Source organism: Homo sapiens, chromosome 4 (genome assembly GCF_000001405.40).
Source record: "Homo sapiens chromosome 4, GRCh38.p14 Primary Assembly".
Lineage (NCBI taxonomy): Eukaryota > Metazoa > Chordata > Mammalia > Primates > Hominidae > Homo > Homo sapiens.
The window spans coordinates 123,339,116-123,352,227 of record NC_000004.12 but is presented as its reverse complement, the minus strand read 5'-3'; the positions used below and the strand labels follow the sequence as shown (position 1 = coordinate 123,352,227).

The window sequence follows — 13,112 nt, the reverse complement described above, 5'->3', positions numbered from 1 at the left end:
TTATTTCTGTGTGTGTTTTTTTTTTTTTTTTTTTTTTTTTTTTTTTTTTAAACTCTGGATTTATAGGGAAGCTCAGGGTGGGCATGGGGCAGACGCATGGGTTCTGCCAGGTGCTGTTTCTCAGGGAACACGGGAGGCTGTTGTCTATGGGGACGGGTGGGGCTGGAGCAGGCTCTGTGACAGTCAGAGGCTCTCCCCAACCCCGGCCAGCGACCTCCCTTGGGTACCTTGAAATCAGCCACGGCGGGAGTATTTACGCCGCGGAGATGGCAGCACGACACAGCCCTGCTTTGCGGGTGGGAGTGAAGAGAGCCGCTCACTAAACATTAACTAGCACCCCACGGAGCTGGAGTCCAGGCAAAATCCAAAGCGACTGGAAGGGCAGTTTGTTAACTCATTCAGCCGCCTCCTCGCCCCACAGCTAACGAATTCTTGGGCGCCAGCCTGGACAGAAAGGGGAGGAGACAAGCCTGCTGTGATGATACTTTAACGATGATACAGGAAAATGACAGGATAGGTACCATGTCATAGGAAGAATACTTGGAAGACCTGGGCTCATTTTATTGAGGCATCCGTCCACAAATGCCTATGGAGCATTCAGGCTTTCCAGAAATATTCATGGAATACTTTCTGTGTATAAAGTGGGCATTCGATGGTGAGTAAGGTGGCACACGGTCTACCACCTGAGTTTACATTCAGGGGAGGAGAATGTTAAAACAATAAGCAGATATATACTTTTTTGTGTTTTTGGTTTATTATTTGTTTATTTATTTATTTATTTATTTATTTTTGAGATGGAGTTTAGCTCTTGTCGCCAGGCTGGAGTGCAGTGGCGCAATCTCAGTTCACTGCAACCTCCACCTCCCAGGTTCAAGCGATTCTCCTGCCTCAGCCTCCTGAGTACCTGGGATTACAGGCAAGTACCACTACACCCGGCTTATTTTTTGTGTTTTTAGTAGAGAAGGGTTTCGCCATGTTGGGCAGGCTGGTCTCGAACTCCTGACCTCAGGTGATCTGCCCACCTCGACCTCCCAAAGTGCTGGGATTACAGGCGTGAGCCACCGCGCCCGGCCAGCATATATACTTTTAAAACAAGAGCTTAAAAATTTGGGGATGGAAATAAACAAGAGAATGAGATAGAAAAGGCCGGAAGAGATAGGAAATGCTGTAGGAACACTTAAGGATTGTGGCTAAAAAAGCTGTGATATGAAGTCAGGGCGTCAGTTCACTTGAGGGAGGAACTTTTTGTGTGTAACTCCCAGCCCTGCCACTTGCTGCCATGTGCCTACCATGATGGGTTGTGTGGGTGAACTTAGGTAGCACATGGCATTGGCGACACCCAGCCACACAGATCTAGGAGCTGCCATTCACGTCCTCATCGCTGCAAATGCAGTGTGCACCCTGTGCAGGACACCTTGCAGCCCAGGATGACACAAAGTGGATGCTAGATAAACATTAGCGGCAATCAGTGACACTGTATGAAACTCCCCATCATGGTGGAAACTTGTACTGAGAAAAGATGGCCACTTCTCAGGGTCATTGTAGCAAACAGCAAAGGTAGAGGCTTGAATGTGATGTCCTTGGAGTGGCCATCCCATGATAACTTATAAATCTTTTATTTTATCACTGTTATTACCCCTTCTACCATATTCCCTATTTCTAACTCATTGTCCCTTCTTTCTTTCCTGTTAAAACCTTTCTGCCCTTGAGCAAAGCAAAGGTAAGTTCTCACTTGTTTTCCCACTTAGTTCTATGTCAACCAAGACCTGTTTGTTTCTGCCAGTAAGTTACTTCCTAGGGCCTGTGAAATAACGTGGACTTTGAGTGTGGCTCTTTTGACAGAGCAATAGCACCACCTGCTACCACCTACTAGAAATGTCGTCTTGTAGAACAAAGAAATACGCACGCCCTGCTGTTCTGCAATCAGGCTCTGACAGAAGCTTTCAGGTGTGGTGCTTACAAGATCAGACTCATTGACTCACTCACTTCTCCCTGCTCCGTCACTACACTCCCAGTGAGTATTTCTTGAGCTACCACTGGGTCCTAAGTCTGCTCTAGGTATTAAGGACACAGTAGCACCATCGTGACCAAGGCATGGAGCTGAAATTTTCTAGATGGAGAAGACAGAGATTAAACAATAAAATGGCAAAATGATTTCAGATAAGGACCAATGTTTCAACAAACAAAATAAGATGAAGAGTTATGGGTCACTGCTTTAGATAGGGTGGGTATAGAAGTTCAAGTTTGAAGAAGCAGCTAGGTCTAGTGCTAGGAGAGAAACAGAATAAGACTGTGACAGTAAAGGTACCAGAGAAACGGGATGAAGCAGATGGGGGAAGCAGTTTCAATTCCATGGTGCGAATAAAATTGGTGCACACTCAGAGATGTTTTGAGAACTATTTGGTAAGCTCAGTAAATGGGCATGGTATAGAGCATCCTTGACATAAGTAACTCCATCTTAGAAAAAAAAAACTGTATCTTATACTTCATATGACACTTTTTGCCAACAGGGACAAGATATTTTGCTTAACAAATAATGACTACATCCAACCAGATAAGGATACAAACAAGCACATTCTTCCACTATCAGTCCTCACCAGAGGACTCTGTGGCCATAAAAAGAGTAAGGCTTCAGCAGCTCAACACAACTGACGCAGTCCTGCTATCAGTTGCGATAAGCACCTGGCATCTGCCTACAAAGGCTCTGCCCACATCAAAGACTCTTCCTTGCGAGACTGAGGGACTGCCCAGGCCAAGCCAGGAGATTCTTTTTGTCTTCGTTGTTCTCCCTGCAATGGTTCATTAACTCTTTTTTCTCTCCCTTTTCTCTTGATGTTAAATGTTACTTTGTGAGCTGTGGAATGTTTAACATGTATATAGTGACCACGTATTCTATTACATATGGTTTTCAGTATTAACTGACTTGTGGAGTGGCTTGAGCCTGTGTGCCCGCTATTCTCACTACCGAGTGAATGGGAAGTTCTGAGGAGAACCTCTTTCTTGGGAACTCCATTGAGCTCATGGTTTTTGTGATTGAAACAGTATCAATAAAAGTCTGACCTTGTGGCAAGATACAAATGTATGTGGACCTTGCACGGCTCATGAGAGGCATAACTCTGAAACATGGGTCAGAATTCCTGTCTTTCTGTTTCAAATTGCTCAACAGTGCTAAACATATTGTTTTAGACATAATAGGAGCTTAGCAAATGAGTATTTCTGTATTTGCTGGCTTCAATTGCCTTGAATTAACACAAGAAGCAGACCAGACTGGGGAAGAAAGTTATTTGTATAGAGAAATTCTTAAATGGCGAATCTGTAAGGGGCATTATCCTTACATTCTCCCTTCTCTCTGCATGCCTCTAACCAAAGACAGACCAGTCCGGACAGCCAAACGGGACCATAGAATAGTCAGGACGCATGGAGGGAAATAAGGTTGCCCAAATATATGGACATACTGTCTGAGAGCCATAGGGTATTTGCGATTAGCCGTCTGCAGAAAGCACCCTCTTGGAGATAGGAAGCATCAAGTCTAGATGATCCAGATAATAACCAAGTGTAACCCTGACAACTAGAGCATGAAATCAGGCCTGGAACCTGGTTTGGAACCCTTCTTTCTTCCTTCCCAATAGGAACAGTCTTCAAAATGTAGTGAAAGTGGGTCTCACTTAGGAAGACTATACAGTGCATCTTCAGGAGACAAGTATGTGTGGACCCGCCAGGGTAGTTATTATTCTATTTGGAAAGTCTATGGCTCTAGTGAACACCACTATCCAATGAAATTCCCTTGCTCAGATTTCTTGCTCATGAAACAGCCTTATGATGATAATTTCTGGCTTCCTATGCAGCTTTCCCATGAAGAGAGTGTACTGATTAGCCACTATGACCGTATGGCTGCCCATGACGTGTCTATTCTTACTAGAGAGCAATCATCACATTCTAGTTTATACATCAAACTTGTGTGATGTTTCCTAATGGAAATCAGTTGTTTTGAATCTGATAACCTCTGAAGGCACAATCAAATCAAGTTTTTTTTCCTATCTTTTTTTTTTTTTTTTTTTTGAGACAAGGTTTCACTCTGTCACCCAGACAGGAATGCAGTGGCATGGTCATTGCTCACTGCAGCCTGGAACTCCTGGGCTCAAGTTGATCCTCTCATCTTAGCTTCTTGAGTAGCTGGGACTATAGGCACACACCACCACACCGGGCTAAATTTTTATTTCATTTTTGTACAGACGAGGTCTCACTATGTTGCCCAGGCTGGTCTCAGACTCCTGGACTCAAGTGACCTGCCTCCCAAAGTGCTGGGATTACAGGTGTAAGCCACTGCACCCAGCCCTCAAGTTTCTTTACGTGAGTGCATTTGAGGGCCACATCTCAGTATTGTTTCTTTAAAAGACCATTCTGGGGTCAGCTGGCCTTATTCTACAACATTTCCAGTTTGGCTCTTTCTAATTTCACCACCTAGATTTGATTCATTGTAGTAACTGTCTTTTCTCAAGTACAACAGCCAGATGGTCTCTGCATAATGGGGCTTGAGGATAATAATCCAACCTGAGTTCTAGGTGTCATCTATTTCAGAATGACAGGGTAAAAGTTTAAACATAATAGAGATTACTTACATCTCCAAGGAACATGATTAAACAGTTCTGTTAAATTACTATGATTTCCTTGAGCCTTGAAGGTAGCTAGGATGCTTTAGGACAGCAATTCCCAAAGCCCGTTCCAGGGACTACCAGTGTTATGCAACAAATGAATACAAATTATCTGGAAGTTCTTGGTGAGATGAAGTTAAACCTAGTTTAGTGTTTGCTGTTGTTGTGGTTGGTTGGTTATTTTTTAAGCACAGGGCCCCTCCCAAGCTTATTTTAACCTTGATTACTGAGATCAGTTGACTACCCAAAAGTGAGATGTGTTATGAAGCTTGTCTTAGTCTGTGTGTGTTGCTACAAAGGAATACCTGAGGCTGGGTGATTAAAATGATAAAGAAAAGAGGTTTTTTTGGTTCTCAGTTCTGCAGGCTGTACGAGAAGCAGGATGCCACCATCTGCATCTGGGGAGGGGCCAAGGAAGCCTCCACTCATGGCAGAAGGGAAAGGGGGGGCCATGTGTGCAAAGACGACATGGTGAGACAACAGAAGCGAGAGAGAGAGCGGAGAGGTGTCCGGCTCTTGTGGGAACTAATAAAGCAAGAACCCACTCACTACCAGAGGAGGCCAAGCCATTCATGAGGGATCTGACCCCATGACCCAAACACCTCTCATTAGACCCCATCTCCAAATTGGGGATCAGATTTCAACATAAGCTTTGGAATGACAAATATCCAAACCATAGCAAAGCTTTTTCCCCAAATTATTTGACCAGAAATCCTTTTCATTGAGAAGCATTTCTCAGAACTTAGTTCCCAAGGTAGACACTTTGTCAAACATGACTGTTTCATGCTTTTCTCAAGTCTCATGACATTCGAGTCTCATCTAAGGAGAGATGCAGTCCAGCTGGGTTTCAGTGAAGACTGCCAGTCTGTCATGAAAGGGGAAACTTCACACGAGGGAAGGAAAGAATAGTTATGTGGGGCTTCGTAAGTCATAAGGGAGTAGGATCAGAAATAAATCTCATGGTAGGGAGAGAAAGGCAATTGCCCCTGTTCACCGTTAGGCTCCTTGCAGAGCTGCACAGCACAGAGACACCACGCATATGGAACCAACTGGGAGCTGTGCCCTGGAGCTGTGCAGCACAGTCACCCTGCAGAATGGGCAAGAAGAGAGCTGAGAGAAACATTTGAGAAGGAACGTTAATTTAAAGTTCTAGCGAAAAACACATAAAAGACCTCTTTATCTTTTATTAATTACCAAATCAAATAATCCCTAACAGAGAGAGGGGTACCCCCACATCCCCCAACCCCTCTCCACCCCCCCAGGAGTTACTCCCATTGTGCGATCTGCCTGAGCTGCTTCTGTGCCTAACATGAGCTGAATGAAATAAAAAGCAGAACATTCTGTTTAAAAAGTTATTGTCTAAAATGTCATATCTCCCTTTTATTAGGAGAGTAGAGCTCATCGTGAAGTGTGTTTCAATTTCTATAAATACACAAAGAAAAGCAGGACACATTTCCCACAATAAGCAACTCCAGCATTTGGCCACATCAATCAAAAGAGCAACTAAAGAGGAAAATGTAAAGAAAAACAAAGAAAACCCCTGTAACCCCAAAAGGAAGTTTCCATGTGTACAATATAAGCTGAACAACTTTTGACCTTTTTTGAAATCCGATTAGTGAAACTTTGTAGAATATTTAAAAACCAGCATATGTGCTGCTGAAGTCTGTCCCACGCAAATGTTTTTGTCACTTTTTTAATAAAAAAAGATAATCTTGGAGGAAAGTGCTGCTCAGCAATCTGCTCCTCCTAATTTTGAAACCATTAAAGTGCAAGCCAAGCTGTTCCCAGAGTCCGGACACCCCTTCGCTTGTTTATAGATCAATATTTAGAAACTTTCTCAGTTTCAGAGAAAAAGAATGATCTCAAGCTGAAGTTCTGCAGACCAACTTTCAGTCTAGTTAATTTTTATTTATTTGTTTGCTTGCTAGCTAGAGAGTTATAAAAGTCTTGAAAAGGCTCGGCATGAAAACTGATGCAGCCAAAAGACACCAGCTCTGAGCTCTTGTTTCAGGTAATTCCTGCCTGGAATCGGCCTGTACCTGGTCCAGACAGCTGTACTCCCTTCACCAGGCCTGATTCCTGAACGCATGAACTGTCTTATAAAGTCCGAGTGGACATTTGCATCAGGGTGTCTTAATCACTAGCAGGGTGTGAAAATGTGCACACATGCTCACTCACTCCAAAACCAAGGAGAAAAAATCCTACAAGAGTAAAACTTGGGAGAACATAATCCAGTTCTGTCCTCCTCCTCTTAGAGGGAAATCCTCAGAGCCAGAGGTCAGTACAGTTGCCCAGACAAATAAATTTTCCCTTTACCTCTGGCTACACCAATCTTGTTTGCTTTTAATGTCATGCATGTCCTGGTACAGCCAGGACGGGGAAAGCTCCGTGGAGACAGGTGCAGTTTCTTGTCACTCTTGCTCTAGGAAGTGCTCAGCCCACCCTGCAGGAGGGCGCAAAGACCCTCTAGGAAAATACCCTCGGCCCTGCCCCATCCCGGCCCCATACTGCACTTGGAGGGAAAAAGCATCTTTTACCCAACACAAACCAGGACAGCTGAATTTGCTTATGACAAACACGTATGTGCTCCACAGCTATTTATTGAGTACTTGGAGTGAGGCTCAGTACTAAATGTTGAGAGAACTCAGGAAAATTCAAACTATGGCTCTTGTCCTAGTAAACGAGCTAGACAAATAAAACAAATACATGTAGAAATACTATATTTCCTTGATTCAGAGATGGCATTTATAGAAAGACATGCTATCAAGTAATAACTTTTTGGGAAAAGCTAACCCTCATCAAATGTATGCATTGATTATGAGATGGAACCTCAGCAATTATGAGATAAAAAGTGATTTCTGAAATACTGGCATGTGAAGGGCAGGTGCAGTGGGGGAGTGGGGCCATGTGGCGATGGTGGTGATGCTCTTCTGGCAGTTGCCTGGTGCCCCTGCTCTTCACTAGGAATGGTGCTACCTGCTTCCTAAACGCGATAGCATTTCATTTGCATAACAATCCTGGTGGTGTTGATACTGTGATTCTCATTTTTACAAATGAGAAAACTGAGAGACAGGGAGCAACCTTCCCAAGGTCAGAAAGCCCCTAAGTTAGGGAGCTGGCATGCGAGCTCATGTGTGAGAAGCAAGAGCAGACAGCGGGTAGAAGACAGGCTCTAGGGTCAGAACCCTGGCCTTCCTACCTGCAAGCCATGTGGTTTTAGGCAAAGTACATAATCTCTTTGTGCTTCAGTTTTTATATCTGTAAAATGGGAACTAAGAATAGCCCTTACCTAGTAGGGCTGTTTTAAAGTTTAAAAATGACAATGTCCTCCAAAAGCTTAACTGGGTACCCTGTACATTGAAAATGCACAGTAAATATAAGCTAGGGCTGTTTTTCTATTCTGATGCAGGAAAATGCTTAATCAATTTTAAATACTTAATAGGCCATGTAGGTGGTAATGGTGATCAGGTTCAGAGGTTCAGATTTTACTAGGAGTCTTGTTCCGCTCAAAGTAAACCATGTAATAAATCCTTGCCCGTCTTCATGATACTCTCGTCACTAAGAAGGCAGAGGAAACAACAAGGGAACTTCTATTCTTGACTTCATTCTGATGAAAAAGAACCTGATGGCTATTGTGTAACTTCCAGGAACCTAGAGAAAAACATGACTGTGTCATTCTGCATTAAATTGAGGAAAGGAACCACCAGGCTGAGGTGACCTGAACCTGGACTTTGGAAAATAGGCTTCAGAAAGTTCAGAAATACGATAAATGTGCCCCGCTTGGCCAAGGATATGATTCACACGAAAGGGAAATTCTGAAAGAACAAAACAAAACAAAAGAATGTTAGATTGTACACTTAGAAATTATTCCTGTGAAAAAGAACAGATGACGGCAGCCACAGAAAAACCTCTCAGGTTGTTCAGATTTCAACAGGACACATGTAAAAGGCAGAGGATGTGCGCTCCGGGAGGCCGTGCCCTGTGTGCTTGGAAGGAGGTGGGAAGGGTAGGCCAATGAGCCCTCGTTAAAGACAAGCCCTGCGTCACACTTTATAGACATCAGTTCATTTTATCCTTCACATTTTATCCTGAAAAGGTAGATGTTATGAGCTTTGTGTTTCAGAGTAAGAAATTTGTACTGAGAGGCCGGGTGATTTGCCGGGAATCACACAAATCGTCGACGGTAGAGCTGGGATTGGAATCCAGAACGGTGCGGATGTGAAGTCCAAGCTCTTCTCCCTGGCTCTGTCATCTTCCTCCTCAGCAGAATGACCATCCTAAATGTCTGGAGTAGGGGGCCAGGAGTGCTTTGGTGCCACATAGAGATTTCTATTCCTGTTACTTGGGTAGGTGTCCTCTTCACAGCATATCAACTAGCTAGGATGGGTTGAGCAGACCGGGAAGGCCAAAAGTCAAGGTGTCTATGCTTGGGGGTAGAGGGCACCCCTGTCCCAGTGCTGCAGGCTCAAAGCCGAGGCCCGGCCTTGGCTCCCTCCTGGTGTGCTTGTTCTCACCACCGTGGTCCCTGCCCTGACTCTAGATATGTTCACCCAGTGAATTCAGGCTATCCTATGTCCTTTCATTAAAAGAATGTCCTATCTAATCCTGAGCCTATACGCGGTGGCATTTTGAAGATTGTCATGGAATGACTGTATGTGACACAGAGTAAACAAGTCAATGTATCCATCTTGATCAACATCAGCAGACAGTGTCACACTAACTCGGGGAGTGACTACTCATCTTTGTGTGAAGGCCAAGAGTGCCTCATACAGCAAAATAAATTCTACTTTACCAAGCCATGCCCATCTGATAACTGTCTCTGTATTTATTTATTTATTTTTAGAGACAGGGTTTCACTCTGTCACCAAAGCTGTAGTGCAGTGGTGCAATCATAGCTCACTGCAGCCTTGAACTTCTGGGCTCAAACAATCCTTGTGGCTCAACCTCTTCTTGAGTATCTAGGACTACAGACACATGCCACCATGCTGGGCACATTTTTAAACTTTTTTTTTATAGAGATGAGGTCTCACTATGTTGTTCAGGCTGGTCTCCAACTCCTGGCTCCAAGCGATCCTCTCACCTCGCCTCCCAAAGTGATAGGATTATAGGCGTGAGCCCCCATGCCTGGCCCGTCTCATCCTTTATTGAGAAGATATCTGTTATCTGTCTTCCTTTAAGCCTCCCTAGCAATCTCTTTTGTAATCTTTGAAAACTTCTGGTTGTTCTATTTCCTCCAGTCTAATTAAAGCAATGGTCTGGTTTCTGGCTACGATTGCTCAGAGAGGATCAGGAGTTATAAAGGCCAAACTATGTACTGTTGGGATGGTTTTCTGGGAATACTCACAGAGAAAGGCAAGGTTCAAATGCTGGGCATGCGACTAAAGACAGAAATGTGTTACTAGAGATTTCCATAATTCTCTGCCATGAATCTCAAAATAGGTATGAAACCAGGAGATAAATCTGTATAAGGAAGGGATAGATGGAGAATAATACCATTAACTCAGGTTTAAACTTAGTCCACTGGGAGGCCAAGGCAGGCAGATCACGAGGTCAGGAGTTCCAGACAAATCTGACCAACATGGTGAAACCCCATCTCTACTAAAAATACAAAAATTAGCTGGGTGTGGTGGTGGGCACCTGTAGTCCCAGCTACTCGGGAGGCTGAGGTAGGAGAATAGCTTGAACCTTGGAGGCAGAGGTTGTGGTGAGCCGAGATCATGCCACTGCACTCCAGCCTGGGTGACAGAGTGAGACTGTCTCAAAAAAAAAAAAAATTAAACTTAGCCCAAAAATTCAAAAGTGAACCTCTAAAAAGAAGTCAAGGGTAACTGCTGTAGAAGTCCAGCCAGGCAGATGGTGGCACAAAGAATCTGGAGCAGCTGGCGTGGGGCCTCAGCCATGGAGACAGTTCAGTTCAAGGACGGGAAAGCCAGTTGTTGGGGAACTGGGAAAGAAGCAGGAATGAACGTCCCTTGGAAAAGAGGAAGAGACTTGGTTGTAGGAGAGAGCTAGGATACCAACGTCGACGTGATGAAATTGATTTTAGCCACTAACCCATGTCCCATCTGTTCCTTCTACTCAAACACTGAGGCATGACTGAACTTAGAGGTGAGAGCCTCAGTTAGATGAGCCATAAAGCTTCATCAAAGCATAGGAGGTCATTACCTCACAAACCTACCCCAGGTCAGGCCAACATTTACTATATATCATGCTCTGGGGGCAATGTTTGTGCTTTTTATTTTACCTTTATGTAAGCTATCTATTATTTTGTTTATGGTCAGTTTGTATTTTAAACATATCAGCCTGGCTGATGGTACTTTGTCACAGCAGCCCTAGTAAACTAATACAATCGTCAGTTTTGTTTTCAATTTGGTGTGTATTAATTGGCTTAATTATGATCCTTAAATTGTCATCATTGGGTTGTAGATGTCCAACTTATATTCAGTTATTGATTTATTTTTAGTAATATAATAAACATCTGCGAGCCCATCTCCTAAACAAAAGTCAGTCTGGAAAATAAGTCAGAGCTAATGACATGTTCCCCCAGCAACCTCACCCCATCCTCCCCAGCAGCATCCTGGTTTTCCTAGCTTTTCTGTCGATGTAGATTATTGCAGTCCTAAACTGCATGTATTTTAAAACATTTTAGCTACTTTAAACTGTATAAAAGGTATCGTGTAGTATATGTTTTGCGACTTTCGTTTCCATTACATTGCTAAGATTCACCCATCTGCATGTGGCTGTAGTTCATTCGTTATGCTACTTTGCTGTTTCGAAATAAAATCTTCATGACTGCTTTTTAGAAATATACTCACATTCTCATTCTTATCCCATTGTTTCTACTATTTTAATATAAAGGCCTGGCGAAGACCCTGTTTCGGGAAGGAGGAGACTCTCTGGCCCATGTGCCGTAAGGACATTTTGGGCTCACAACTGCAGGGGTGTTCCGGCCTTATTGTGACTCTCAGAGCTTCACCGACAACAGCCACGAGGACTTACTTCTTAAAATGAAGCATTTCCCTTTGGTCACCAACCAAGAGGATAGAACAGTAAGGTGACTCATGTTGCTCTGATTTCAAAGGGTGTGTAAAGGGAAACGTTAATGTGAGTCAGAATTTACCCAATGGTTTTGAGTAAATAGCCCTGAAATAGTCTTTTTCTCCTGGGGTTGCTGAATGAGAGCAGCGTGGCCATACTTTCCTAAAGGAAGCAGTGTGGCTTGGGAGGTGCAGTACAGCCCTGGAGGGCTGACAACCTGGTAGATGCAAGCCATCCGCCTCCTACTTTGTGACCTTGGGCCAGTCACTGAATGCAATGGTGCACAGATACCCAGTTCTAATTCTAGGGTCAGAGACTGCACTGCCTCCCTTCTGTGTTCACACAGAGCCATTTCTAGCTCTTAAAGTGTCTAAGCAGGGCCTGTGTTTTTCCTCATTACAGTAAACATTTTGTGAAACAGGTATTGGTGGCTGTATAGTACTGGGTTTGGCCATGATGTTGGATCCTCAAACCCAGGGCTGTGTGGCCAGACCCAGGCCAAAGCTCCCAACATGGCCACCTCACAGGCTCTGGAGAGGGACTTGCTGGGCCCAGTGGAAGGCAGCTTAGGCTCCACATCCTCTCCGTCTTCCGGCTTCTCTGTGAAGCACAGGTTATTGTTTGTACCCTTTGATGCTTTTCTAAAGGCTATGTAAGGAGCATTTTCAAAGGTAGAAAATGGAGAGAGCTGGAGATGCCGTGGGAGGGAAGACTGGAGAAAGAAAGTCTAACCAGTGCAAACATTAAAATCAAATGACCCTTGTGCCATAAATTAGGGGGTTGGGGAAATGGCTTATTATGCAGCTGAGGTGTTTGAAATGTAGAATTTGCTGGGTTGGCAGATTAATCCCATTTATACTGGGGAAAGTATTCCATGACATTAAAGGATTTATCTATTTGCTAATCTGCTTCAGACTCCACAGACCTTGTTTTAATAAGGGGGTTGGGGAGAGGAAAGGGTTAGAAAGAAGGGGGTTAGGAAAAGGAAGACAGGGATTTCGTTCCCATTTCTGCTATAAGTTTTGTTAACTAAATGCCTAATAGGGACTTCAAAAACACGGTAGAATCCACTCCTTAAATGTAACATGCATTACTTATAATATGGACAAAGTAGAGTTTTTTATTTGTTTTGTTTTTGTTTTTGTTTTTTGTTTAACAATGTTAATGCGATCATTCTCTGTAAATACATAAGCAAGAATATATTTCTTCTGCTACTTTAAACCTAGGATATAAAGAACTTTTTAGAGAGAAAAGCAAATGAAAAATGGGTGTAGGATTCTAACAAGCTTTAATCTTCATTACTAGATTTATTGGGAGCAACCACCAACAATTATTTTAATTTGGAGCAGTTCCCATTTTTCCCATTTTTAAAACCCCTTCCCCCAAAATGCAAACAAACATTCGCCTTTGCTGTTGCCTTTT

At 43.5% G+C, this 13,112-nt stretch overlaps 1 long non-coding RNA gene across 1 annotated transcript, besides 3 other annotated features; it reads left to right on the top strand.

Moving 5' to 3' along the window:
• Positions 265 to 766: an enhancer, noted in NCBI's record as "H3K4me1 hESC enhancer chr4:124272617-124273118 (GRCh37/hg19 assembly coordinates)". NCBI's record gives its function as "activates a minimal SCP1, AML or CMV promoter by ChIP-STARR-seq in naive H9 embryonic stem cells {active_cell/tissue: H9 hESC(naive)}" and the evidence as "EXISTENCE:reporter gene assay evidence [ECO:0000049][PMID:30033119]".
• Positions 1,007 to 3,074, top strand: LOC124900774 (uncharacterized). Its single transcript, XR_007058263.1, has 2 exons — positions 1,007 to 2,014; positions 2,511 to 3,074. It is a non-coding gene; the product is annotated as an uncharacterized LOC124900774 (long non-coding RNA).
• Positions 1,678 to 2,208: an enhancer, noted in NCBI's record as "NANOG hESC enhancer chr4:124271175-124271705 (GRCh37/hg19 assembly coordinates)". NCBI's record gives its function as "activates a minimal SCP1, AML or CMV promoter by ChIP-STARR-seq in primed H9 embryonic stem cells {active_cell/tissue: H9 hESC(primed)}" and the evidence as "EXISTENCE:reporter gene assay evidence [ECO:0000049][PMID:30033119]".
• Positions 11,600 to 11,894: an enhancer, noted in NCBI's record as "tiled region #14026; HepG2 Activating non-DNase unmatched - State 6:EnhF". NCBI's record gives its function as "activates a minimal TATA promoter and a strong SV40 promoter by Sharpr-MPRA in HepG2 cells {active_cell/tissue: HepG2}" and the evidence as "EXISTENCE:reporter gene assay evidence [ECO:0000049][PMID:27701403]".